At 45.5% G+C, this 27,959-nt stretch overlaps 1 protein-coding gene across 6 annotated transcripts in view, besides 8 other annotated features; it reads right to left on the reverse strand.

Annotated features, from left to right (window-relative positions):
• B4GALT1 (beta-1,4-galactosyltransferase 1) overlaps positions 1-27,959 on the reverse strand; it is an 81,013-nt gene that overhangs the window by 30,218 nt on the left and 22,836 nt on the right. For all 6 annotated transcript variants that reach the window (NM_001378497.1, XM_047423231.1, NM_001378496.1 and 3 more), the window contains one exon: positions 895-1,130. In NM_001378497.1, the coding sequence (NP_001365426.1) occupies positions 895-1,130 (236 nt within the window). The remainder of the gene's footprint in view (positions 1-894; positions 1,131-27,959) is intronic.
• Positions 5,459-5,838: an enhancer, noted in NCBI's record as "active region_28274". NCBI's record gives its function as "activates an Ori minimal core promoter by ATAC-STARR-seq in GM12878 lymphoblastoid cells {active_cell/tissue: GM12878}" and the evidence as "EXISTENCE:reporter gene assay evidence [ECO:0000049][PMID:35858748]".
• Positions 6,362-6,671: an enhancer, noted in NCBI's record as "active region_28275". NCBI's record gives its function as "activates an Ori minimal core promoter by ATAC-STARR-seq in GM12878 lymphoblastoid cells {active_cell/tissue: GM12878}" and the evidence as "EXISTENCE:reporter gene assay evidence [ECO:0000049][PMID:35858748]".
• Positions 19,407-19,526: an enhancer, noted in NCBI's record as "active region_28276". NCBI's record gives its function as "activates an Ori minimal core promoter by ATAC-STARR-seq in GM12878 lymphoblastoid cells {active_cell/tissue: GM12878}" and the evidence as "EXISTENCE:reporter gene assay evidence [ECO:0000049][PMID:35858748]".
• Positions 24,729-24,788: an enhancer, noted in NCBI's record as "active region_28277". NCBI's record gives its function as "activates an Ori minimal core promoter by ATAC-STARR-seq in GM12878 lymphoblastoid cells {active_cell/tissue: GM12878}" and the evidence as "EXISTENCE:reporter gene assay evidence [ECO:0000049][PMID:35858748]".
• Positions 24,899-25,078: an enhancer, noted in NCBI's record as "active region_28278". NCBI's record gives its function as "activates an Ori minimal core promoter by ATAC-STARR-seq in GM12878 lymphoblastoid cells {active_cell/tissue: GM12878}" and the evidence as "EXISTENCE:reporter gene assay evidence [ECO:0000049][PMID:35858748]".
• Positions 25,109-25,248: an enhancer, noted in NCBI's record as "active region_28279". NCBI's record gives its function as "activates an Ori minimal core promoter by ATAC-STARR-seq in GM12878 lymphoblastoid cells {active_cell/tissue: GM12878}" and the evidence as "EXISTENCE:reporter gene assay evidence [ECO:0000049][PMID:35858748]".
• Positions 26,667-26,796: an enhancer, noted in NCBI's record as "active region_28280". NCBI's record gives its function as "activates an Ori minimal core promoter by ATAC-STARR-seq in GM12878 lymphoblastoid cells {active_cell/tissue: GM12878}" and the evidence as "EXISTENCE:reporter gene assay evidence [ECO:0000049][PMID:35858748]".
• Positions 26,816-27,810: an enhancer, noted in NCBI's record as "H3K27ac-H3K4me1 hESC enhancer chr9:33161108-33162102 (GRCh37/hg19 assembly coordinates)". NCBI's record gives its function as "activates a minimal SCP1, AML or CMV promoter by ChIP-STARR-seq in naive H9 embryonic stem cells {active_cell/tissue: H9 hESC(naive)}" and the evidence as "EXISTENCE:reporter gene assay evidence [ECO:0000049][PMID:30033119]".

Here is a 27,959-nt window from a genome sequence, read left to right on the forward strand (position 1 = left end):
AAATGGACATTGGGCCTTGTAGAAATGGGCGTACTCAGACTCTTCAAATGAATTTCAATGAAACTGGGTGCTTAGATAAGTTAGATGTGTCATTGCACCTAGGAGGTTATAGTCTAAAAACATGAATTTAAGTGTTAGGGGTAATCTTGAAATATCAAAGTTATACTCTTGGGAAAATAATGCTCCTCAAATAAACTGAAAAATTTATTTCAATAAAGATGCCTCTTAGATCAATCTGATTCTCCATGCCATGGTGATGAAAGTTGACCTATCCTTAGCATTACTTTCCTAAGCAGGGCTAAAGCCCAACACATATGGATCAGACGAGCAGTGAGAAACTTTTTCTCAGACTCGGCCCAGTCCACATAACTCTCAGATGGCCCACGAATCAGACTTCTCCAGATATTTCACCAGGGGCTGGCATGTAGGCATGTGACCTGAACTAAGGGCACTGTCTCCAGGTGCCCCAGGAGACACGCTCTGACTGACTGGATAAACTTTGAAGTTACCTAAAAGTCTGACATCTAAATGGTGGTTTTATTTTTAAAAGGAAAATACACAGCTACACAAAGCCAGGGAATAATCAGTGTGTACTTTGGAATAATTAGGGTTGTCTTTTTTCCCAATCTTGCTGGAAGGCTACTTCCAGAAAACAAAAACAGAACAACGAAAACACTCCAGCATTTCCCTTGGCTATAGAGTTGACAGCAATAGGCAAGCACACTGTTTGGCGTTTACCTCATCTGCACTGGTGGTGGCTGGGGGGCTGGTTCCTCGCTGTAAGTGCCAGGTGTCTGTGAAATCACTCCCCTTCCCCTGCCCTCATTACACACACATCTGATACACATCTGCATGCACACACACCCTCTCTCATTCCACCTTCCCAGGCCTCACCTGGTTGATAACATAGATGCCATAGTCCAGCTGCTGGCGCTGCAGGACTGGGTGCAAATAATATAGCCAGTACTTGAGGTGCTCCTGCCGGTTGCGGAATGGAATGATGATGGCCACCTTGTGAGGAGAGACGCAGTCCCTGGGGGCATAGCGGCCGCCCATCTTCACATTTGGGTTCTGCTTTGCCACGAGCTCCAGGTCCACAGGCATGTTAAACTCAATCAGCATGGGGCCCACTAGAGAGGTGGAGGGAGGGAGAAGTTAGCAGGCCACAGGACTCGCCACCGCTCCACAGGCTGCATCAGATGGCCAGGCTGCAGCTGCAGCTGCAGAGGAAATGTCTCCTCCTGGGAGGCAACGTGGCCACGGAGAGGGCCCTCCTGCCCAGCATCAGGCACCACATCCAGCATTAGGGTGACCAACCATCCCCAGAAACCCCCTTCAGTGTGGGGCAAACCTAGATGGTTGGTCACTCTGTGAAGCACTCGCCTGCCCAGGACCCTCCCCGCTCTGACTCCACTGTAAAATGGAAGTAATTTCTACCCAGACTTCCTGACAGGCTGTTGTAGAAATCAGTGATCACGGATGAGAAGGCAATTTCTCAAAACCCCTGAGGTTGAGACTTAGCTCTGTGACCTCCCAGCTGCGTGGCCTTGGACAAATGGCTGACATCATCTCTCTGATTCTAGCCTAACTGGGGAAGTGTGTGTGTGTGTGTGTGTATGTGTGTGTGTGTGTGTGTGTGTGTATGCATGCATGTTGGGGACGTCAGTGTGGAGGGAGTTAGCTTCGAAGTGGAAGGTAGCAGGAGTGGCATGAGTGCCCATGTCCCAGGAAGGGACTCGATGGAAGGTGAACCAAGGTCTGGGAGAGATGGAGGCAAAGAAACCCCAAAGGAGACCGAGGGAAAATAAAAGAAATAGCTGGAAACACAGAAGAATGTTTAGTAACAGAGGGGATAAAGTAACAAAGAGGAAGAAGAAGTAACAAAGAGGGAGGGATGACTCCCAAGTTTCTGGCCTAGAAGAACATGGATGCAGATGAGATAAGTAAGTTAGTAAGAGAGTGCTTGCCTCAGAAGAAAAATGGATGAGGTGCAGATTGTGGATTGTGAGGTAACGGCAGGTGGGAAGAGGGATGAGGAAAACGTCACATACCGGGTATGTGGTACACGTGGTGCAGTCCAGGCAACACAGGGAATCAAGGCTCTGCTGAGAGTCAAGAGCCAAGGCTTGAACCCAGGCTCCCCATACTCTCTGCAGACCAGACCGCCTCAAAATGGGTTCCAGAAAACATCAGACCCAGCAAGATGCTTAATGGAAAAACATGTCTCGTGGTCAAATAAGAACGGGAATGCTGCGTATTAAATCCTGCTTCTGCAAAGTCACGACACACACCAAAGGCTCTGAGAAGTTGTGCAGTCGAAAAACCCCCTTCGTTATATTTAACCCACCATTTCCCAAGCTTATTTGGCTACAGAACCATTTTTCCAGGGAACACACTTTGGGAACTGTTACTCTAGTGTAACCAGCTTCACCTGTGAAGCAAATGAGCCACAAGAACAAAGGAAGGAACCTAGAGAACAGGTAGGAACACCAACCACAAGCACAGATCAAAACCTGAAACATGCTGGTGAGAACCCGCCCAGGGCCAGTGAGCAGGCTTCAGCCTGCCCTGTTTATCAATAACGCGTGGCTCTCCAAGCACCCCCTACTCCCGGAATCACTCGCCCTTCTGAATTCAACAGCTTGAGAAAAAAAGCTGTGGGCCTGCTTCCTCTCACCAGATAGCTGCCACTTCCACCCCCTTCCCCAGTACACATCTCACATCTTCCCTCCCTCCGTAGCTGACCCAGGTCCACCATCACAGGACCTGTTCCCATTAGTTTGTTTTCTTCTGAGATACAGCCCCGACCATATTACTTTCCCACTAAAACCTCCAGTGGCTCTAAGGCTGTGTGTCCCTGCACAAGGGAAGGCCAAGGCCCACAGCTGAGCAAAAGGCCCTTCACCCTCAGCTCTGTCTGTCTCCCTCCCCATCCCTTAAGCCATGCCTGTCCACACTTTTCTCTTTGCCAGAAATGCCCTTCCCACTCTCCTCTTAACTAGCAAACTTTCGCATTGAGAGATAGGCCTCAATCAAGCTTGATCCTTTTACTCTCTGCGCTATCACAGAGCTCAGGCAGCAGACCCTCTGGGGCAGGGAAGAAGATCCTCAGGCCTCCCTCTCTGGTCATGCACCTCCCTCCTGGAGGGACAGAGGCCTTGAAGCTCAGTCCCTTATAAGACTGCCTGCTGAGCCAGCTCCCACCTCCCAGGGTGCCCTAAAGTGAGCAGGCACTGTGCTCTTCAGAGAAGACCAGGACTCAGTCAGTGGTCACCCTGGACAAGTTTTTCCCAAACCTATCACAAGAATTGCTTGAGGAAGTTAGTACAAGTACAGCATCTCGGGCCCTTCCCTTAGAGAGTCTGTGGATTTTGGGAAGGACCTAAATGGCTACCTAACAAGGAGCCCAGATGATTCTCACTGGGCAAGCTGGGTAGTAGGGCTCCGATGGACCATCTGATGGGCATCTGATGTCAAGGCTTAGGGCTTTCGGGCAAAGAGGGCCCTCGGGGATTCCCACCATTCACACCCTTCCCCACAAGGTCAGCCAGGCCTGGGCTGCCCAACACCCAACCCTGGGCAAAGGCTACTGGGGGGGCCCTGCTGCACAGTGAACTTGTGAAAAACATGAAGAAAAGATCTGTCACAGGGCTCTTTTCACTTCAGAGGGCCCCCACAACATCTGCAGCCCCCACCCCACCTTTGGTTCTGAGGATGCTGCTAAACATAACCGCGTTTTGGGGAACCCAAGAAGCACCTGGGCTGTCACCCTGCCGACTTGCTCGTACCTTCTGAAACCCACCCAGAAAACAGGAATTCACATGTGGCCTGGCTCGCTTCCGCGGGACAGACACCTGCAGGCTGGAAAGTGTCCTGGTGTTGCCCCATCATGGGTTTCAGAAAGGTGGTCCTGAAGTCAAGAGCCCCGGACAGGAGAAGAGATGCCTGGGCCCCGGTCCAGCTCCACCAGTGACTTTCCAGATGATCTTTGGTATCCTGAGAGTGGATAGTACAGCCACTCTCAGGGTACTGGTTTCCTCATTTGTAAACTGCAGGGACAGGACTGGATGCTCTCTAAGGTCTCAGAACGCCCTGACGTGTCCAGTGACACTTGGTAAACCAGGAGGAGTGCAGGGATCCAAAGCAAGATCTTTAGACAAATCCTTGCTCCCACCTTCCCTGCCCTCAGCATGAATTTCCAAGCAGACAGGAGACGTGAGTGTCCAGCATAGGAGAGGTGGAAAGAAGCCTTGATCACCAAGCGTCACATTTACCTACGTCTCCTCTTACCTCAAATTCCTAGGCTTTCTCAGCTTCTTTCTTGGATGTCCATCTTTGCCCCCTTCTCTTCTCACTCTCCCTATACCCAGGTCTTTGGTTTAAGCACATGACAGTTCCCAAACCTCTGTTTCCATCTCATGTCTCTCTCCTGACCTCACAGCCAACAGAACATGGCTAGCCATATGTCATGGGCACCTCAAATTCAACCTGCCCCAAATGGATTCTCATGCAACCCCACCACCATCACCACCTACAGCCAGACCTGCTTCTCAGGATTCCCTCAGCAACTGACACCACCATCTCCCCAGGGCAGAAGCTGATACCCGGGTGGTCCATCTTCTATTCCCCCTCCTCTCTCCCCAACCCCAACACACACACTAACGCTCTCTCACCCTCACATACACACACACACACGCCCACTCGCTCCCATGCCGGGGCTGTCCACAGCATGCTGACAACCCACAGAAGCCGATCGAGCACCAAGCCAGAGAGTCTTTACTCTGAAATGTCTGTTAACTGCAAACTTGCCCTGTGATATGTATCAAGACCACTTTCAATTTGTTTCAATTGATACTTTCTGGGTACCTACTGTGTGCCAGCCCAAGGAGGAGTGGGTTGAGGTAGGGAGGGAGGATGGACAAGACAAATCCTGCCTTCCAGGAGTTCCCTGCTGAGCGTGTGGCAGAACCTAAATGAAAATTACCCTGGTTTAAGGATGGTCAAGGAGCTTGCTCCTCCAATGGCTCTGTGCAGAGCTTTATCACTGAACAGCCTCTTCTCACTCTCCTGCTCCCTTCTGAACTCGCTGTGCCCCTTGCACAACCCCCATCATGCTTCCAACACACTGAGACACCTTGACCCCCAATCCTGCCCTTCTTGCCAATCTGGCAATTTTTTCTCCACAACTCTAAGGATCTTGCAGCTCACACCTTTGAGACAACAGACAGCAGCCCCAGACCTGGCGTTGAATGACTAATTGGGTCGAGTGCCAGCCAGGAGGCCTCCTGAATGCCCTGCACACCTCCTGCCATACTGCAGGGACCATGCTCTGCTACACACCTGGCTCTGTCCCAGTGAGAAACTCCAGAGAGCTCAGACTCCAGGAAGGCAACGACTACCTCTGTTCAGAATCATGCAGACCTGCGACCAGGTTTCAGAGCCACTGCCTGGGGTGGTGGGGAGAAGCTCTGGGAGGAGGCAGAGGGCTGAGGGCTTCATGACAGGCCTCAAGCCGAGCCAAGGCGCCCTTGCTGTGCGGCGCATGGCGTGTGCTACCACAGGCTCTCGGCCCCGCTGGGCTGGCTTGTGTGTTTTCTTGGCTCTGGAAGCTGGGAGGCAGGGTTACGTAAGCAGATGAGCAGATGTAAGCTGTCCTCGGCTCCCCCAGCTCAAGCCCCGCCACGTGGGCCTCTCGGCTGGGAGTCCAGGTCATGGCCTTGCATGTAAGTCGCTCAATAACTTCAATGTGTGAGCTCAATTCAGACAAATTCCACTGCTCCCCTGCCTGGCACAGCAAACCCAAACACATACATGCCCCTCCATCAAAGGCCCTGCTAATCTAAGCCAACACCAGCACGGACTCCTGACTGGTTTTCATGCTGGCTGAAGCACTAGTTCAATCCTTTAGCCTCAGCAAAATAGGCTGAAACATCTAGTCACTGTTTGTCAACTGATTGGCCAGTGGGTCGAAAGAAGCGTTGGCCTGATGCTTTATTGTGACAATGTTTCACTAGCCCAGGAATGAAATCACAGAAGTAAAGACCATGTAGGTGTTTTTTAATTAAACTAAAGGTAATCAAAGTATAGGAATGCCCTTTCTTCCAAGATTAAGTGCTTCTTACTCTTTGAATATTAAAATGTCCTTTCTCTTATGAAATCATCATAGATTTTCATGCTGGACTGATTTTTAAAATTTAATTTAAAAAAAAAATCCTTCCTTGGCAGCCATGGGTCAGGCCTCTAAGTTTGTTTTGAAAATTCTCTGGACAGGAAATCCAAGTATTCAGGAAACATTTGGGAACACGTGGAACTAGGCAGTGCCTAGAACTCTGTGATTCTGAGAGCTGGGATACTGGAATTTCTTCCTGGGTCTCAGACCTGACAGTACACTGCACAGCCCCTCTTCACAAATCAGCTCCCCCACCAGTGCTGTTCCACAGGCTCATGTGGATGGGCCGCTTCTCTCTGTACCAATCTTCCAAAGGCCAGGTGCGCACCGCAAGCTGAGCCAGGCATTACCACCAAATTCCCCAGCTTGAGAAAAGATTTGCTTGCAGCATTCTCGTGAAATCACGGTGCCCCTTGAGGCCCCTTGGGCTAGAAATGAGAAGCACCATTTACTGTACGTGGCTCACCCGTCATTCTGGGAAGAGCACAAGCTCTCTAAGTCTGCAAGGGCTTCAGTCTAACAAATCTAACAGCTGCCTGGCCTTAGCTCAAACACCACCCTCCCAGGAAGCCTTCCCAGACCACTCAAGGTTGGTTCTTAAGCATTTCACCCACTTCCCCTAAGCATTCACAGCACCACATCCATTCATATTCAAACATGTACCCAGTTAGTATGTATCATGTGCCAGGTGGTATAGGGCATGCAGGGGTTGGTAGGGGAGTGGGCGGCAGGGTGAGCAAGTAAAGAAGAGGTCTTTGAGGCTGGGCATGGTGGCTCATGTCTGTAATCCCAGCACTTTGGGAGGCTGAGACAGGCAGGTCACCTTGAGGTCAGGGGCTTGAGACCAGCCTGGCCAACATGGTGAAACCCCATCTCTACTAAACCCCATCTCTATTAAAAATACAAAAATTAACCGGGTGTGGTGTAGCTGTAATCCCAGCTACTTAGGAGGCTGAGGCAGGAGAATCTCTTGAACCTGGGAGGTGAAGGTTGCAGTGAGCCGAAATCACGCCATTGCACTCCAGCCTGGGCGACAGAGCAAGACTCTGTCTCAACAACAACAACAAAAGGTCTTTACCCCCAGTAGTCAAGGAGACCAGCAAAGCCAACAGTACTGCTAAGTGTGACAGGTAACAAACAATAAGCTAAAACTAGCACAGAAGGGGAATCAACTAGGGGACAGGAAGAGAGTCAAGGAAAGCTTTGCAAAGAAGCAGCTCCTCCATCAGGGCCCCTCAGTTCTCTTGGGAGGATTCATCACAGAGTTGTGTCCACTTGGCTGCCATGCACGTGGGAGTACGCCAATAAATCCTAGCTGTGTGGGTGGCGCGCAGCTATCCTCTCTGCTTCTCTGCCACCTGCACAAGTAACAAAGGTTTCCATAAACCTACAAGAAAACCTGACAGAAGAGCAGGGGATGGAGAGCCACCAGAAGGGACTCTCGATTCTCACGTGAAGCATTTTGCACTGTTTCAAAATCTAACTCATGAAGGCTTCGAAGGTGTAGGAAATGATTTCTTTCTTTTTTTTTTCTTTTTGAGACGGAGTCTCACTCTGTCGCCAGGCTAGAATGCAGTGGCACAATCTTGGCTCACTACAACCTCCGCCTCCTGGGTTCAAGCGATTCTCCTGCCACAGCCTCCCGAGTAGCTGGGACTACAGGCACACACCACCATGACCAGTTAATTTTTGTATTTTCAGTAGAGACGGGGTTTCACCATGTTGGCCAGGATGGTCTCGATCTCTTGACCTCATGATCTGCCTGCCTCGGCCTCCCACAGTGCTGGGATTACAGGCACGAGCCACCGCGCTCGGCTGGTTTGTTTCTTAAATCAGATGTTTGTGGTATTTTTCTTTATACCTTTGGTTATATCTTTAAACTTGAACAATAAATATTTTAAAATATGACCCACAGATGGGAAAGGTGACCCCCTCCCTATCCCATTCCTAGTAAGGAAGTATCTTCCAAAATAAGGATGTCAAAACATACAACTCAGTGACCAGAAAACAGGAATAGTCTATTCTTAATGCTGACATGATATGTCTTGGGTACACCACACACAAACACAAGTTCAACACCCCCAACACCCACTGTTCTTTCCACCAACTCACCATCCAAGCCACTATTTGTTTCTTTCCCTAGGACCTCTTTTTCTTTTTCTTTTTTTTAAGAGACAGTTTCTCGCTCTGTTACCCAGACCAGAGTGCAATGGCATGATTATCGAACTCCTGGGCTCAAGCAATCCTCTCGCCTCAGCCTCCCGTGGGACTGCAGTGCATGCTACCACACCCAGCTAAGTGAGAAACATTTTTTCAACAGGAAACAGAATACATCTGTGGTCTCAGTACCCTGCATTTGGGAACAGAGAGAAAAACAAAGAATTTGCTGAAAAAAAATAGGCCAGGTGCGGTGGCTCACACCTGTAATTCCAGCATTTTGGGAGGCTGAGATGGGTGGATCACCTGAGGTCAGGAGTTCGAGACCAGCCTGGCCAACATGGTAAAACCATGTCTCTATTAAAAATACAAAAATTAGCTGGGCGTGGTGGCACTTGCCTGTGATCCCAGCTACCTGGGAGGCTGAGGCAGGAGAATCGCTGGAACCTGGGAAGTGGAGGCTGCAGTGAGCCGAGATCATGCCACTGCACTCTAGCCTGGGCAACAAAGCAAGACTCCATCTCAAAAAGAAAAAAATAATAAAAAATAAATTAAAGGAGACTGCCAGACAAGGTCCACACAGCAGACCGTAGGTGGCCAAGTGGGAAGCTAGACCAACTGGGCACAGTGGGGCCAGGTGCTCATCCATTCATCTGTGCTCAGAAACAGTCCTGCCACATGCCTGACCTGCCACACTTGGTAGTTCTTCTAAAACATGACTTAAAAGTGACTTCGTCAGCAATGAACCACTGACTGACCTCAGTGGAACTGCCATTTCTCATGCCTTACTCTCTCCCTCATTAAAGTCCCACTCAACCTTCAAAGGCCAAGCACTCAAGTTGCTTTCGCAATGCTGGTAGCTTTCTGTCTATTGCAGAGGCTTTCATGCTGTGCAGTGCAAGAAGAATCATCTGCAGAAGTATGTGAATTTACAGGTTCTTGAGTCCTACTCACCAGATTGATTTGATAAGCCTGGGGCAGGGGCCCAGGAATCTGCATTTTAACAAGCACTGTAGGTAACTGCAATTTTGATGCAATTCCCTGGACTACATTTTGAGAAACGCTGGTTTACAGGTTCACTTATTAACTACCACTTCCCTCCCACCCTCATGAAGCAATTTAAGAATGAGGTCAAGAAAAACAACTTACACTCAGGAACTACTGTGTATTTTCCTCTCTGAAAATGTGTAACATGTTTTGCTTTCAGCTTTTGCAAATGGTCAAATATAATAACTACGTTGGGACCCATGGTTTGAATATCTTTTTTTTTTTTTTTAAACTGGGTCTTGCTCTGTAGCCCAGGCTGAATTGCAGTGGTGCCAGCTCACTGCAGCCTCAAACTGCTGGGCCCAAGCGATCCTCCTGGGCTGTGGTCTCGGCCTCCTGAGTAGCTGGGATCACAGTCACGAGCCACACAGCTCAGCTAATTTTTAAATTTTTTGTAGAGATAAGGTCTCACCTGAGATGTTGCCAGGCAAGTCTCAAGCTCCTGGTCTCAAGAGATTTTCCTGTCTTGGCCTCCCAAAGTGTTGGGATTACAGGCATGAGCCACTGTGCCTGACTAAATATCTACCTTTTCACTCTTCCTCTTAATTTTCTAAGTTCCATTTTCTCTTTATTTATTTATTTTTGAGGAGGAGTCTCACTCTGTCGCCCAGGCTGGAGTGCAGTGGTGCGATCTCAGCTCACTGCAACCTCCGCCTCCCAGGTTTCAAGCGATTCTCCTGCCTCAGCCTCCCAAGTAGGTGGGACTACAGGCATGTGCCACCACACCCAGCTAATTTTTTGTATTTTTAGTAGAGCCGGGGTTTCACCATGTTGGCCAGGCAGGATGGTCTCGATCTCCTGACCTCACGATCCACCCACCTTGGCCTCCCAAAGTGCTGGGATTACAGGCATGAGCCACCATGCCCAGCCCATTTTCTCTTTTTCTGATTTTAAATTTATATTGGTCCTTTTTATGGTATATGTTCTTATAAGCCACCTCAAAAACTTCAGGAAACAGGTAAAGCAACCATTTTTTGGAGTTCAAACCAAATGTCATCCCCTCTTCAGAGCTTTCCCCAGTCCCCTCTCGGGATCAATCAGTCCCCACTCCATATGCCTGCAAAATCCTTCACAAACCTTGGCTGGAGCCCTGCAGAGATGAGGCACCAGTCGACCTGCCTGCTTCCTCCCTTAGAATCTTGACGGCAGGGATTGTGTCCCATTCCTTTCTATGCTGGGACAGTTCCTGGCAGCAAGAGCAGCAATCATGTATTGACCCACACTGCACTTGTTCAACTAAGAGGTGAGAAGCTGAGCTCACAGAGCTGGGAGCCATCTTGCCTTTGATGTTTTAGAATCTAAGATTTTAGTCTTAAATTACAGTTAAGATCAAGATGGGGCAAAAACACTCTCATTTCTGCCAGACGAGGTCTTCACAGCAAGCCTAGGTGGCCAAGTGGGAAGCTGGACCAACTGGGCAAAGTTGCGCCAGTTGCTCATCCATTCATCTGTGCTCAGAAACAGTCTGCCACATGAGGCCTTTTGTTTCTAGGTTTAGCACCTGATTCATGAGCTACAGCCACCACCCCCCAACCCCTCCAGCACCCCATCAATTTTAAAATAAGTTTTCTCCAGGCTCTAGGCCTAGCATCTGACACTTTGTGGCAACGGATGGCCTAACCTCCTAATAAAAATGGTGCATTTTCTTGGCTAAGCCTCACATAGCCACACCAAACAGGCTCTTCACCAAATGTCACTATTTCCTTGAGAGAATAATCCCAAAGCTCAAAGTTTTACATGGGTCACAAAATCACCAGAAAAACCTCAGGTGGTCACTCAGCCCAGGATGCTCTCGCCAAGGGTATCAAGGCCTAAATCTAAGGAAACAGCACCATGATCAGATTCTGCCACCTCAAAGGGCCAGGATCCACCTCGAATCAGACCCTAGAGAATCCTGGCAGACAAGGGCCAATAGAGCTGTGGGAATTATGTGTTGGCCCCATGGTTACACAGGAAAGAAACTGAAGGCCATACAGGAAGACAGACTTCCTCAAGAACACCCTTGGATTGGCAAAAAAGCTGTCCTAACTTCCCCTTAAATAATCTTCCAGGGTTCTGATATTCCTGGATGCATCCACACAGTGGATAGCAAATCACAGCACACGTGCCTTTACTGTCCCTGCGCTGTACCCACGGGGATTCTGTCTCAGAATCTTTTCCAATTTAGGGGCCAGGGGGGCCTTCAACTGATGGAGGTGGCATAAAAGTGAATCTTATTTGACATCACTGAACTAAACCATTCTCAAGCATTAATTCTATACCATATGTGGTCACAGATCCCCAATTCTGTGGGGCAGTAGAAGCAAGGAGAGGACATGGGGAAACCTCTGGGAGACCCCAGAACAGGCAGCATGACAGTTCCACTTCTGTCCAGTGGGGAAGCCACAGAAATGCAAAGCCTTGGGGTCAAGAAAGAGTGACTGGGGGTCACAAGCTTTTAAAGCCCAGTAAACAAGCTCCCAAGTAGTGTTTGGTCTCTGGAGGAAAAATTCCCAAGAGGAATTTCTGCTTTCTTTGGTCCTCACTCAAGGGCAGATTCCTCCTTCTCACTCCTTCCGCTGGAATTTCTGGAAAGTGTGGAAACTGTGCCTGCCCACAGATATCACTACCAGGGAAAGGTTCTGAGGCCTACTTGCCTATAAACTCCATATTAGCCCCAGGAAGATCTTGCTGTATATCTGTCCTTTTAGAACTAGAGCGCTTCCAGAAGGGATGATTTCAGCTTCTCAGAAAGGTTTAGAATGGTCTAGGCATCTGGCATTTTATTTTAAGACTTTCACCTCCAGGCTGGGGCAGCCACCTGTGTCCTCTGGGCTCTCCTCTCAATCTGGAGCCAGTCACTGACAAGTAGCCCAGGAAGAATTCCAGAGTCACACTTACCACTACTCCCTCCAGGGTCCCATGCCTCACTGCCAAGTCAGGATGCTGGTGAGGATGCTTCGCTTTGCACCTCCTTAGGCCATTTGTTAGAAGAGATTTAGACATTTGACACACAGTCTACAGGAACTAAATGCAATTTTCTTTCTTTTCTTTTTTTTTTTTTTGAGACAGAGTCTCACTCTGTCACTCAGGCTGGAGTGCAGTGGTGCAATTTCAGCTCACTGCAGCCTCTGCCTCCTGGGTTCAAGTGATTCTCTTGCCTCAGCCTACTGAGTACCTGGGAATATAGGTGCATGTCACCACACACCACATCCAGCTAATTTTTGTATTTTTAGTAAAGACGGGGTTTCGCCATGTTGGCCAGGCTGGTCTTGAACTCCTGACCTCAGGTGATCCACCCGCCTCAGCCTCCCAAAGTGCTGGGATTACAGGCGAGAGCCACCACACCTGGCCCCCAAATGCAATTTTCAAGGGAAGGCAACACAGTAGGAAGGAATCACAGGAGGAAGGAATTACAGCCTAGGTTTCAAATCACTCCTCCACCTCTAAAAAGCTACAGTCAAGTTTTATAACCTCTCTAAACTTTGTTGGTGACAGCACAGTTCCTAACACACACTAGGCCTATGACATACATTTGCTGAATACAAGAATAATATTTGTATGTAGACCTCACACTCTAAGAGGAAGACAAGTCATTCTTTTTTTTTTTTTTTTTTTCCCCCTGAGATGGAGTTTCTCCATCACCCAGTCTGGAGTGCAATGTGCCATCCCGGCTTACTGCAACCTCCCCCTCAGGTTCAAGTGATTCTCCCGCCTCAGCCTCCCAAGTAGCTGGGATTACAGGCACCTGCCACCACGCCCAGCTGATTTTTGTATTTTCATAGAGACAGGGTTTCACCGTGTTGGCCGGGCTGGTCTTGAACTTCTGACCTCGGGTGATCTGCCCACCTCGGCCTCCCAGAATGCTGGGATTACAGGCATGAGCCCCCATGCCCGGCCAAGTCATTCTTGATAGAGAGAATTCAGTAGAGGATAAGGTGTCATAAAAAGAGACTGTTTACTGAGGAGAGTCAGCAGAGTTCAACTATACCAGCATACCTAACATATGGAAGAACAAAGGGCATTAACACAGTTACAGAAAAAGAAGAGTGCTGGTGAGAGACTGCACAAAACAATGGGAAAAATAGTTTTATGTTGCAACAAAATACAGCATGAGCAAAGTGAACATATATATAATAGATGCAGGAGGCTGAGGTGGAAAGATTGCTTGAGGCCAGGAGTTCAAGATTGGCCTGAGCAACATATTAAGACTTCCATCTCTAAAAAATAAAATAAAATTAGCCAAGTCTGGTGGTGCATACCTGTAGTCCCAACTACTCAGGAGGCTGAGGTGGGAGGATCGCTTAAGCCCAGGATTGCGAGGCCACAATGAGTCATGATCATACCACTGCACTCCAGTCTGGGTGACAGAGCAAAACCCCAACTCTTAAAAAAAAAATTGTAAATAAATAAGTAAATAACAGATTCAGAAGATATCTGCAATGTCTGAGACCAGGAAGGGATTAATATCTAGGATGTATAAGGAATTCCTGCATATCTTCAAGAAAAATATAAGAACTCCAGTGAAAAACAGGCAAAGGATTATAATGAATAAGCAATTTACCTAAGAGGAATCCCAAAGACCATCAGGCATATGAAGAAATGCTCCAGCTCATTGGTAATCAGAGAAAAACAAGTTAAAACAAAGAGTTATCCTAGCACATCTATTAGTTTGGCAAAAAATAGGAAGCTGGTTAATGCTGATTATTCACGGAGACACAGAGCCTGTCATGCTCTGCTGGTGGAAATGTAAACTGAGGCAGCCATTCTGGAGCTGTGTCTGGCACCCCTGAATCAACATAAACATGCTCACACGTTGCCCATAAAGGAAACGTTTAAGGATTTTCCTCACAGCAATATTTGTGAAGGTAATGCTGGAGGCAGTCCAGGAGTCCCTCATTACAGAAGGGAAAAAGAAACACTGGGATGGATGACAATCATGAGGTATTATTCAGCAGTTAGAATCAACATGCTGGACATATACACGGCAACGTGGATGGACCTTAAAAACAAAGGTGCACACTTGGCACTGATTCTTGTTTTCTAATTATGATTCTCTACTAAAAGGAACTAGAGCTCATTGGAGAAGTGACTGACTCTAGGGCTGAGTTGGGGAAAGAACAAGAGGACCATGGAACTTCTTGCTGTGCCTAAAAGTAAAAAAAAAAAAAAAAATGCTCAAAGAGTAATAGGATATGTCAAAAGAAAACAGGAACCAGGAACCTCTAAAGAGGAATCCCAAAGACCATTCCCCTGAAGGGGATCTTATTGGCTAAATCTGGGATAGTCTGAACATCAGAATACATAATGATAGTAAAGGATTATGATTTAATGAAGTAAGAATGCATAGGTCTGCATTAATATATGAATTAATTAATAGGGAAAAAGGGTAAGCTCTTCCTTATAGAAGAATGCCAAAATTAACAAACATAGAAGGAATAATGGAATTAGAAAACCATCAACTACCATAATAACTGATTCAGGCAAGAATCATTTGTAGATGCTAAAACCCAGTGGATATCAAGAAAACGATGAAAGGTAAGAAAAAAAATTTAAAAAAAAAAAAGTGGATGAAAGTTTGAGGAGTAACAGGACAAGTATATGCCCATAAGATACTTAAAAAATTTTTTTATTTATTTACTTTTTTTTTTTGAGACAGAGTCTCACTCTGTCACCCTGGCTAGAGTGCAGTGGCGTGATTTCAGCTCACTGCAACCTCCGCCTCCCAGGCTCAAGCAAGCCTTGTGCCTCAGCCTCCTGAGTAGCTGGAACTACAAATGCGCCACCACGCCAGGCTAATTTTTTGTATTTTTTATAGAGATGGCGTTTCACCATGTTATGTTGGCTAGGATGGTTTCAAACTTCTGACCTCAAGCAATTTGCCCGCCTCAGCCTCCTAAAGTGCTGGGATTACAGACATGAGCTACTACGCCCGGCCAGATAGTTTTAATTTAAAATGGTAAAATAGTAACTATAATGGAGTAATGCCAAATGCCACTACAATGAAATCCTCAAGGTTCACACTGCCAATAAGGAACAAACTGACAGTGTGTGTCTCTAGATCTCGTTACACTGAGAAGAACTCAGCATCATTTCAGTGGTATTCCTGTCAAAAGTGAATAACCTGAATCTGATCAGGAGGAAACATCAGACAGACCTAAACTGAGAGACCTTCTACAAAATAACTGGCCTGTACTCTTCAACAATGTCACTGTCATGAAATCCAAAGGGCTTGGGAATTATTTCAGATTACAAGACACTAAGAGACATGACAACTGAATACAACACATGGTTTTCTTCTACCATCAAGGCTATTATTGGGGCACCTGACAAAGTCTTCCTAAGGCCTGTAGATGACATAGCAGAAATGTTTCAATGTTGATGTCCTGATTGTTAATTATACTATGTTTATATATATATTTTTAAATCACCTTGTTGTTAGGAAATATACACTGAATATTTAAGGGTAAAAGGAGATATATATAGATATAGATATAGATATATACACACACACATATATATGAGAGAGAGAGATCTAGATACATCTATCTAAAATTATATTAATATCTATCTATCTACAGGTAGATACACACACACACACACACACACACACACACACAGAGCGAGAGAGAGAGAGAGAGAGAAGGAAAAAGTAAATATAGTAAAATGTTAACATTTAGGGACTCCAAAGGATATCCAGGAATTCTTTGTATTAGTCTAACAACTTTTCTGTAAGTCTGAAGTTATGTCAAACTTTTTAAAAATAAAAAAAAAAAACAGAACTGGATGAAAAACATATAATCAAAATGAGCTATAAAATGCCATTTACATATGTTTAAAAAAATGTATATATACTGTGTGACTCCATTTATGTGACATCCTCAAAAAGACAAAACAATAGTAATGAAGAATAGATCAGTGGTTGCCTGGGATTAAGGGTGGGAGGAGAATGTGACTACAAGAGGGATTTTTTTGGGGTGATGGAACTGTTCTGTATCCTGATTGTGGTGGTAGATACACAAAAATATGTATGTGTTAAAATTTATAGACTATATGCCAAAAAGCCAATTTTATTGTAGGTTAATCTAAAAAAATTTTTTTTAAAGTTAAGAATACATCTATGTATAAAGCAGTGGCTTCCATTTTGGCAAGAGCAAAAACAGATACACAAACTATAAATACGTTAGAATAGTTGCCTGTGATATACCTGGGAAATAGAAGTGGGAATGAGGACAAAATAAAACAAATACATGAGGCAAGAGAGTCCATGAGTAGACCCCAATGATGATTATTGGCCATGAAAGGAAGCTTGATGGCTGGATGGAAAGAAGGAAGGAAGGAAGGAAATAAGTAAGGGAGAGATGGCGGATGGAGCTGGATGTGTCCTTCCAGGGCTGTACAAAGGAGGGGGACCCCAACCCCTAGTCCAGACAAAGGTCCCTAAGGCAGGTGTACAGTATTGTGGGGATGAATTCATCAGCCACGAGAGACTGACCCATCTAATGTTAAATTCACTTCCCTGCTCTGACTGCTGACTCACCAGCAGTTAGCTTATCCTGCGGCTTCCCTTGCAGTGAATTCAGCCAGAGATTTCTAAGCTACTCAATAACAGTTCTAATCTTCCCAGTAAAGCTGCAACTTTGCATTCCAGTATGTAAGTAAGTCTCCTGGGAGTTTTATTACTGAGTCAGCTGCCCCTCTAATCAGTTTTGGAGCCCCAGCAGATTTTCTGGAGCTGCGGTGCTGACTACGAGCACATCCTTCTCTCTCCACCTAGAACCAGACCTTGGACTGTGGAGGGCCCACTACTCCTATGGGCCATCTGGGCACTCAGCCAGCCAAGTACTCCTGGCAATATCTCTCTGGTGTCAGGACTACTTTAAATGTAGCCAGCTCCAATTTCCTTCTCTAAGGAGTGGGGATAATTATGCCTTCCTTTCAGATGTAAGTGAAATAATACATATACATACTTATCGCATGTTCTTATTGAGCTAATAGATGTTCAATAAATGTTACTTTCCCTTCTCCCCTGACTCCTTAGAACTTCAGAGCTTACAAATTACTACAGCTCTATCAGCACACATGGCTAAATTTTCACATTTCTACTCTTAGCCACTAGAATCACTGATAGATTTGGAGGAAAACTCTGGGACCTTAAAGGGTCCCTGGAGTATTACATAAAGCTTCTTGCAGCATGAGAGTTGAACAGAAATTCTGTTCATCTTTTGCTGTCGAAGCCAAGTTGGTGGCTTCTAAAGAACCAACTTAGAAGAAAACTCAGGAGAAAAATTTTATCATTTTGGGATGGTGAAGACCTGCTTAAGTATGAAAGCAACCTGAAGTCATAAAGGAAAACATAGATTTAAACACATAAAAATTCAAAACTTCTGGCCGAGTGCAGTGGCTCACGCCTGTAACCCCAGCACTTTGGGAGGATCATTTGAGATCAGGAGTTTGAGATCAGCTTGACCTACATAGTGAAACCCCGTCTCTACTAAAACACAAAAATTAGCTGGGTGTGGTGGCGGGTGCCTGTAATCACAGCTTCTCGGGAAGCTGAGGCAGGAGAATCGCTTGAACCCAGGAGGCAGAGGTTGCAGTGAGCCGAGATTTCACCACTGCACTCCAGCCTGGGCGACAGAGCAAGACTCCCTCTCCAAAAAATAACATAACATAACATAACATAACATAACATAACATAACATAACATAACATAACATAACAACTTCTACATAGCTAAAGAAACCAGAGATAAAGAAGAGTGACAGATGGAGAGACCATATTTACAAATGATATGTAATAAACAAGAAAAATCCACAATATAAAAAGCTCCTGCAAACATATTTTTAAAACTAATAGAAAAATGGGTTAAAAGAAAAAGGGTAAAAAAAAATGGGCCAAAAAAAGGGTAAAAAAAAAAAAGGGTTAAAAAAAAGAAAAAAAAAGTCAGCTGGGCACAGTGGCTCACACCTGTAATCCCAGCACTTTGGGAGGCCGAGGCAGGTGAATCACTTGAGGCCAGTTTGAAACCAGCCTGGCCAACATGGTGAAACCCCATCTCTGCTAAAAATACAAATATTAGCCAGGTGTGGTGGCACACACCTATAGTCCCAGATACTTGGGAGGCTAAGGTGTGAGAATCACTTGAACCTGGGAGGCGGTGGTTGCAGTGAGCCAAGATCGGACAACTGCACTCCACTCTGGGGGATGGAGTGAGACTCCACTTCAAAAAAAAAGAAAAAATACTCACATAAGAAATACAAATGGGCAAGCCAGCCATGGTGGCTCACGCCTATAGTCCCAGCTACTCAGGAGGCTGAGGCAGGAAGATCATTTGAGCCCAGGAGTTCGAGTCCAGCCTGGGCAACATGGCAAAGACTCCCATCTTGAAAGAAAGGATGAAAAAAGAAAGACAGATGGCCAATAAACACGTGAAAATTTGCTTAACTTCATCAGTAATCAGAGAAACATATTAAAACAAGATACTATGTCTGAATATGATACTGGCAAATATATAAAGGTTAGTAACACCCAGGGCTGGTATGAGTGTGAGGAATAAGCACTCCTATACACTGTTAATGAGAAAAAGCCAGAGGGCAAACTGACAGTATCTATCAAAACGTTTAAAGAGCATGATCTTTAAATCTCAAATCAGTAACCTAACCTTCTACCTTAAGACACCAGAAAAAGCAAACTTAACCAAAAGCAAGCAGAATGAAAGAATAAAGATTAGAGAAGTTAATGAAGCAGAAAAATAAGAACAAAGAGAACAAATAATGAACTCAAAGTTGGTCCTCTGAAAAGATCAATAAAAATGACAAGCTTTTGGCAAGACTAAGAAAAAAAGAAAATTCAAATTATTATAATCAGTAATGAAAGAGGGACTATCCCTACACCAACTTTAACGGAAATAAAAAGGATCATAAGGAATCACTATGAAATGTATGCCAACAAATTAGATGACTTAGATGAAGCAAACTCCTTGGAAGACACAAACTATCAAAACTGACTTAAGAAAAAATAGAAGGTCTGAATAGACCTATAACCAGAAACTGAATTAGGAATCAAAAAGTTTTCCACAAAGAAAACATCAGGCCCAGATGGCTTTACTGGTGAACGCTACCAGATATTTAAAGAAGAATTAATAAAAACCGACCACAAACTCTCTCAAAATACAGAAGAGGAAGGAACACTTCCCTACTCATTTTTTGAGGCAGTATTACCCTGATACCAAAACCAAACAAAGATCTCACGACGAAAGAAAACGAACAGACCTTTTCTGACAGTGGTAAACAACTATGAAAGAGAAGAAAGGGAAGGGGAGGGGAGAGGAGGGGAAAAGAAGGGAGGGGAGGGGAGAGAGAGAGAGAGAGAGGAAGGAAGGAAGGGAGGGAGGGAGGGAGGGAGGGAGGGAGGGAAAGACTACAGACCACTATCTGTTATGAATACAAATCAACAAAATACTAGCAAACTCAATCCAGCAACAAATAAAAAGAATTATACACCATGACCAAGTGGGATTTATCCCAGGTATGCAAGATTAATATCTGAAAAATCAATGTATAATATACCATATCAATAGAATAAATGACAAAAAAACATGATCATCTCAACAGACACAGAAAAGCATTTGACAAAACCCATCACCTTTTCATGATAAAAATACTCAACAAACCAGGAATAGAAAGGAACTTCCTCAACCTGATAAAGGGCACCTAGGAAAAACCCACTGCTAACACCATTCTTAATAGTCAAAGACTGGATATTTTCCCCCTAACAAGACACATATGTTGTCTCTTAGCATATCTATTTAACATTGTACTGGAGGTTCTAACGGGGCATTTAGGCAAGAAAAAGAGCTGCTGTGAGAGTTCATGAAAACAATGCATCTGAAGTATTTTTACCATGGTTGGCATGTAATAAGTGCTGAACAAGCATTATCTTTCGTTCAGTGATGTAGGTGGTTGTTGATGGAGCCTAGAACCCTGCATCTACAGTGGCTCCCACCAATTACTTTTTCACACTGACCAACTTATCTATTCATCTTGACTTTTGATTTCCTGTTTAGAGACTAGAATTGCTGGGAGGTCTAAAGCAAGCATGTCCAACCGATGGCCCATGGGCCACATGCGGCCAGGATGGCTTTGAATGCAGCTCAACACAAATTCATGAACTCTCTTAAAATATTGAGTTTTTTTTTTTTAACCTCATCGGCTATAATTAGTGTATTTTATATGCGGTCCAAGACAATTCTTCTTCCAGTGTGGCCTGGGGAAGCCAAAAGATTGGACACCCCTGGGTCTTAAGTTTAGGTGGATGTGGATTTCTCCAGTAAGACCAATCCTGGCTCTTAGGGCCCAGTGACAGCCACCCCAGCATTACATAGCTGGCCCTAATGGAGGCAGCACTCAATGGTCCTACCACAAAGCCATTTAGCGATGCTGAGCAGGAGTACATGGCTACGTCAGAACTCCAGGCAGGAAGAGACTCTGGAGAGCATCCCAGCCAATCCTTCATCTCATTTTATACATGGGCAAACTGAGGCCCAGAGAGAGAACATGATTTCTCTCGGATTATTCAGTAGGTTGGAAAGAGAGCTGGACTTTAGGGTCTGGCATCCTGGATTCCAACACCAGCCCCGAGGTAGAATAAAGCAGGTTATCTACAGGCTTGTGCTTTAGTTTTTCTACCAACACACCAGGCACACAAGACTGAGCCCGCCTACATCTATCTTTTTGTTTTAATGATATACTTTCTCACCTAAGACTCAATCAAACATCTAATGCTCCCTCTTCAGCTCCTCTTCCTAATCACTCAGCTGTCTGTGGTTTATGATGGCCTCTTGCCCAGGATACTGATGAACAACGTCCACCTGAAGGGAAGAATGTGAGCAGCCATAAAATTCCAGTGTAACTGACACAGGGGAACACACACTCCAAGTTTCCAGTGCTGTGGATTCAACAAGATAGCGGCCTTCTCCTTGTGGCCTGGGGTACTCGCTTTGGGCTATATTCTGTCCCTAAGTTGTGGTCAGAGCCTCACGCCTCTTCCTCTTCTTTCTCTTGACTCTGCCCCAAGGCAGATGAAAACCTGCATTTGGAGGAATTTTATATGTGGCCTAAGGGTGCTGACTGTATGCCTTTTGTGCCCAAGAAGATGAGTTAGGCATTGATCAAAAGACATTCAGAGTACTGATATTACCATATAACTAACCTCATTCACTCCTCTTACCAACATCTTGAGGTAAGAAATTATCTCCCTCATTTTATGTAGTAAGAAAATCTTGCCCTAGGTCTCTAGGAACAATATACTACTAGCAGCTCTGACCTAATTCAGTGGGCCCAGAGTGCCATATTAAGTCACAACTGACTGCTGCAGAATGCAGTCAAAGGAGAAGAAGACATATGACATAGCTATAAGGTGAAGGGAGTGGCTGTCACAAATTGAATATGCCCCATCTGCTGGATCTGTAAACTTTTTTTTTTTTCGGGGGGCGGGGGAGGTGGAGACAGAGTCTCACTCTGTCACCCAGGCTGGAGTGCAGTGGCCTGATGTGGGCTCACTGCAACCTCCGCCTCCCAGGTTCAAGCCATTCTCCCACCTCAGCCTCCCAAGTAGCTGGGACAACAGGTGCATGCCACCACACCCGGCTAATTTTTGTATTTTTAGTAGAGACAAGGTTTCACCATGTTGGCCAGGCTGGTCTCAAACTCCTGACCTCAGGTGATCCACCCACCTCGGCCTCCCAAAGTGCTGGGAATACGGGTGTGAGCCACTGTGCCCGGCCAGGATCTGTAAACTTTTAGTCACTGAAATCACTAAGTCTAAAATCATTCCATCATTTATGCAATTCAGTGGGCTTCTGAATCTACAAGAGTCTACAAAAGATGCAGGCACATGGTGGATGACTACAAGGACAGAACTGGCAATTCATATTTGCAGACTTTGGGCTATTGTAACAACTTATTTTTATCCAACATAATTTAAAAGCCTTTCTTCATTAGGGCCCTGTTTCTGGATCCCATACACCAGGGCTATTACATAGAAGTTCATCCACATGAGTTAAATGATCAGGCGCCCAGGCTAGCCCAACAGAATATAAGTTTCTATGGATGGCTACATGCAGTGTTTCCAAAAACTGATCCACAAACTTTTTGATCAACACCATTATTTTTAAGTCAGGTTTTTAAAGCCAGAGCCTGCCCCATGCTATAGGTTTAGCGCCACATATCAAGGAAGAAGGAAAGAATGTTCTTACTTTCTGTAAACCAACTTGGCAAAGGTAGGTGGGTGTTGAAAGAGCCACAGTAAGGCTCCTTTTGTGGACACAGAGTGAATTCAACAGGAACTGCTCTGAGGCAATCACAGGAAAACCCTAATGTCCAGAAAGGCCACATGGTGTCCAGCATAGGGAACTACACACACACACACACACACACACACACACACACACACGGTGTCCAGCATAGGGAACTACACACACACACACACACACACACACACACACACACACTGGCTGGAAGTGTCAGTGTGAGGCTCCAGCTAGATCCAAATCGCCCTTAGAATCCACATACTTCAAAAGCCAGGATTTTCCAATTTAGAACCTGTGAATGATTCCAAACCTCTTGGAAAGCAATGCAGCAATGTGAATCAGTATTGTCAAGATGACCATATCCTCTGGCCTAGAAATTCTTCCCCAGGAATTTATCCCAGGAAAGTAATTCAACTGAAGCAAAGAGCTACACACTACAAAAATGTTCATATCTAGATTATCGACGATAGTGAAACCTGGAATAGTGTATGCTAATGGAATATCTATAAGGATACTAGACAGCAACAAAAGATAATTAGGATAATCATAAACAACATAACATTTTATAAGATAATGTTGGATAAAAATGGCTGCATGCAAACAGTTTCACTCTACAACTGCATTGGAATATATGCATTGGAATATGTATGCATTTGAAAAGTAATAGCAAGCTCTGTTACAGAAGTGGGAGCATGTTCTGTTACAATGGTAAGTAGAATTTTTTTTAACATTTAACATGGTAACATTGTATTTTCAACTAAAAAAAAAAAAGGTCCTATAAAGCAAAAGCCAAAATCTTCACAAATAAGCATTATACTACCAATAATAAATAACATATATTCACAACTTATTCTGTGTTAGGCACTGTTTTAAGCCCTTTCGTGGCTACTACCTGTATTTCATAACATCTATGAGGTGGATACTGTTATTGCCATTTTACAAGTGAGAACACTGAGGCACAGAGAGGATAACAACTTTCTTAAATCAAATACCACAGTGTGACAGAAAGAAACATTCCTTGTGCCATTTCTACGGGTCATCCACCTGCTAAAATTTTTATGTCTGCTTAGACAGACATGATGAAATCCTTAGCAGAAGCCTCATGGGTAGTGAGCTTCAAAAGGAATTCCAGAGGCCTTTCACGTTGCATATACAACCAGGTTTTCCCCCCCACTCGCCAAACTGGAATCTAGGAGGTAGAGAAAGACAGAGGCTAAAGACCAGCAGGCCCAGCCCACTCAAATTTCAGAAAGACAACAGAGACCAAAGGAGTTAGGACTTGCCTAAAATGATGTAATGAATTAGAAAAAGAATAAAGACCAGGGCTCGGAATCCTCACTCCAGCAGCCTTCAAGGCTTGCTCCTACCCTCTGCAGACCAAGAAATCCCTCTCTGCAGCTCTCTTCCCTTTCAACTGCCTCCCTTTGATCCCTCAGTCCAGCTACCCTCAGACTTCCTCTGTCCATAACAGTCCAAACTGCACCACCTTCTCTTTCTTTTATCATCTTCAGCTCACTCTGCCTCCATTTCCTTTCCTCTCCTGCCCTGCTGGTAAAGGTGTGCAACTTTTGGAATTTCAGCTTTAGTATTCTTTCCACATGACAGCAAGTAGAGGAAATCGCAGGTTACTTTTAGCAGTAGACTCCTGCCCTTCCAATAAGGGAGACTGTTCAAACATACTGAGAGACAGAGATGCTAAAATCAACGTCTGGAAGAGAGGTCCTTCATTCTGACTCTGGCCCTGGCCCAGACCACCCATTTGGCTCCCTGCACCTCCTCAGTACCCTCAAAGCACCCAGGCTTCCTCTCTCTGACCACACCATATTGCCAGAGTCTATCTACTACTACTAAGGGACTGCCCAAGAGTGGGGGCCTCTCTTGTTCATGTCTATCTCTCACACTTCATATAGTGTAGTTACCAATAAAAGTTTGCTGAATGAGGAAATGAGTCCCTGTTCATTCTCTTCCTGGGGGGAGGGGGTCTCTCCTGACTTTGGTGTGAAGACTCAATTCTACCTATTCTTGGGCAGGCAGGGACTCTGCCCAGAGTACTCCTCTAAATGTCAGGCGCTACCCAACACCTTAATACCACATCCCCACAATCCCATAACGCAAATACCAGCTTCCCTAGGCCGCACCCTGAACTCCACATCCTTTCCTGTTTCTTTTTTTGTTGTTGATTTTTTTCAAGCTGGCAGTGTCCTGCAACACCAATGACAGCTCTGCGGTTTCAGGATGTCAAAGGCAAAAGGCCATTATGCAAAACAGGAAGAAACTTTGAAAGAAAAAAACTTAAGGCATTTTTAGAATATACTCTGTCATGGGGCCAAGCAATGATTGAATCCCCTGCCAGGGACCCTCCCCATGACCTCTAGGCCCCCGTGGTGGGGCAGGAAGGAGCCTGACCTCACACTGTATCCGTCACACTGCTGACATAATCCTGCCCCTTCCCTCAGTGCAACCTCGCCCTAGCACTCCAGGCTTTGTGCCAAATGACCCCGGCAGACAAAACTGCTCCTCAGAGAGAATTTATCTCCACTGAGGACATTCTAAAGGGAGTAACTTCAAAGTATACTCCTTGGGAATAGCCTGGCACACTGGCCTGAGGCTTTATTGATCTAACCCACCTGAATCAGCCCCAACTGAGAACCAGGTTCTGCCTCTCCCTAAGAGAGCTTCTCCCTAAGAGAATTCCTAGAAACCTAAAGTTTCTCACTATGGCTCCTCCCTAGATCTCAGGACCACCTGGAGGTGGGAGAGCTGTGCTATATGTTTCAGAATCTGATTTGCAAGCTTGCTCCCACCTTCCTGTGCGTCACATCTCAATGATGTCAACAGCACTGGTTTAGCTAGCTGTTGTTCACCCACAACCACAGCCCCAGAGCCACAGTAGTCCACAGAAGTCCAGCACAGGGACTTAGCTGCTAAAGAAACAAATGGAGAAGTTACTGAGAAAGCATCACCCCCACCGATTCTGTTCACAGCAGATTTCTGCTCAGCCAGATCCTAAGAGCCTATCCTGCAGCCTGGCCCTTTGCCCCTGCCCCCAGGCACTTCCTGGACCTAGTTTCTTTTTTAATCAGAATTCTAGACACATTGTTCAGCAATAAGTGATACTCATCTGCCAGCACTAAGCAAATCTGGAATTTCCAATGAGTCTATCCTTTTGTAAGACTGGCTTGAAAATCTAGCCCTTCTCAAAAAACATTCAACACTTTTTTTCCTTTTTTAGAAAGCTCTCCTACAGAAACCATCCAAAAAGTACATAAAGCTTTCTGCACAAGCATCACTACATCACTAAGAAAAAACAAAAACTATATATGTATATGTGTGTGTTCAGCAACAGTTGAATGATTTTTTTAAGTTATGGCATATTCAGCTGACAGACTATGATACTGCCTTTGTGATTTTTAAAGGTATAGGGTCAAGTCTGTGACAGAATCTTAAATGAAAAATGCTGAACACCAGGCTATCTACATGAATCTATGTCAATCTATCTGTTCATCTATAAAGACAACAGCTATAACACTGGGTGTGGTGACTGACACCTATAATCCCAGCGCTTTGGGAGGCCAAGGCAGGTGAATCACTTGAGCTCTGGAGTTCGAGACCAGCCTAGGCAACATGGCAAAACCCCATCTCTACAAAAAATACAAAAATTAGTCAGGCATGGCGGTGTGCACCTGTGGTCCCAGCAACTCGGGAGACTGAAGTGGGAGAATCGCTTAGCCCGAGAGGTCGAGGCTGCAGTGAGCCGTGATCACTGCACTCCAGCCTGGGTGACAGAGCAAAAACCCTGTCTCAAAAAGAAAAAGAAAAAAAAATATATCAGCTATATTCTTAAACATGAAAAAGACTAGTAGGAAATATGCCGGTATGTTTCTTTTGGGTGATAGGAATTTGGGTGTGCTTTTATATCTCTTTCAACTTTTCAAATTATTTTCAATGAGCCTGCATTACTTTTTACTTTTAAAATGAAGGAAGAGATTATCCCCCCTCAAAAGGCAAAAGCAAAGACCCATACCCCTATCCCTATCCCCAACATCTCTGTGAGGCAAGTCATTCTCTCTCTCTCTCTCTCTCTCTCTGCCTGGGCTTTGTGAGGGGCTCTGGAGAAGCAGCGGGTGTGGGGAGTGGATAGAGAAGCAGCTACATAACACACCCAGACCAGACTTTAAAATCACTGCCAAAGAATTCAGCAACAGCCAATTATATAGCCCCTGGCCTTCATTTGTGCAGGGAAGGGGCGGGCTGAGGCCAAGCCGCAAAGTGGAACCTGAAGCACTGAGTGTGTGACTCACCCCTCTGTCTTCTAAGGACAAATCCCTTTAGGCCACATTCACCCAGAACCAGCTCCCCACTAAACCCTGTCCCCCACCCCCAAGCCCCACTCTCCAACCTGGAGGTCTCTGACTTACAGAACAATATCCTGAGATCACTCCTTGAGCTAGTGACCGCCTCAGCTCACCCGGCAATGGCCCAGATCAACACAGAGGCCCCTACAACTCAGGTCTCAGGTCTCTACAATCTTAATCGCAGTCTGGCTCCCAGGAACCCCTACCAAGTTTAGGGACAGGAGGGACCCTGTGAGTCTAATCCCATGCCTTGTTAATTCCCCTAGGAGCCAGGGTCTGGCTGGCTGGCCTTACAGTGACCTCACTGCCCAGGGACCACACCAGTCTATACCAAAGCCAAATGTAAAACTGTCACCATGCCAGGCCCTCAAAGGATTTAAGCTTCAAGGGCAGACCATTTGTCCTAAAACAACTGGATTGCTGCTCCACTGGACAAGAAAAACTGGAATTTCCAGGTAGATGTGGGTTCAAGCAGAATTCCAGTCTCTGCTTCTTCATAGTAAGAGCAGAGAACAAAGAGTAAGAAACAAGGTACAGGAGGCACTGGGTAAACAGATAGCAGGGAAATCAGCAGGTATGACTACTGAATAAACCTCTTTCACAAACACACACCCATAGCCCAGCTGAGTGCAAAGGGGATGAGCCTGCCGGCCCTGTTCCTTAAGTCTGGATGGTCCCTAGGGTGGAATCTGTGGAAAGCTTGGACTGCCTTGCTATTAACTGCCCCATAATTCCCAACCCATAAATTAGCTTAGTCCCAGCCTGGAAATCCCTACCCTGCTGCTACCCAAAGACCATAATACCCAGTGATATCTCATTATAATCATTATAAAGCAGCAAGTTAAAGATTACTCAGCAGAACTAATGCATAGCTTCAGAAATTAGAGGAAAATTTTCACACAACCAAATAAAACCAGGGCTGGAGAATTTTGATATGAAC

The sequence above is a fragment of the Homo sapiens genome, chromosome 9 (genome assembly GCF_000001405.40).
Source record: "Homo sapiens chromosome 9, GRCh38.p14 Primary Assembly".
Lineage (NCBI taxonomy): Eukaryota > Metazoa > Chordata > Mammalia > Primates > Hominidae > Homo > Homo sapiens.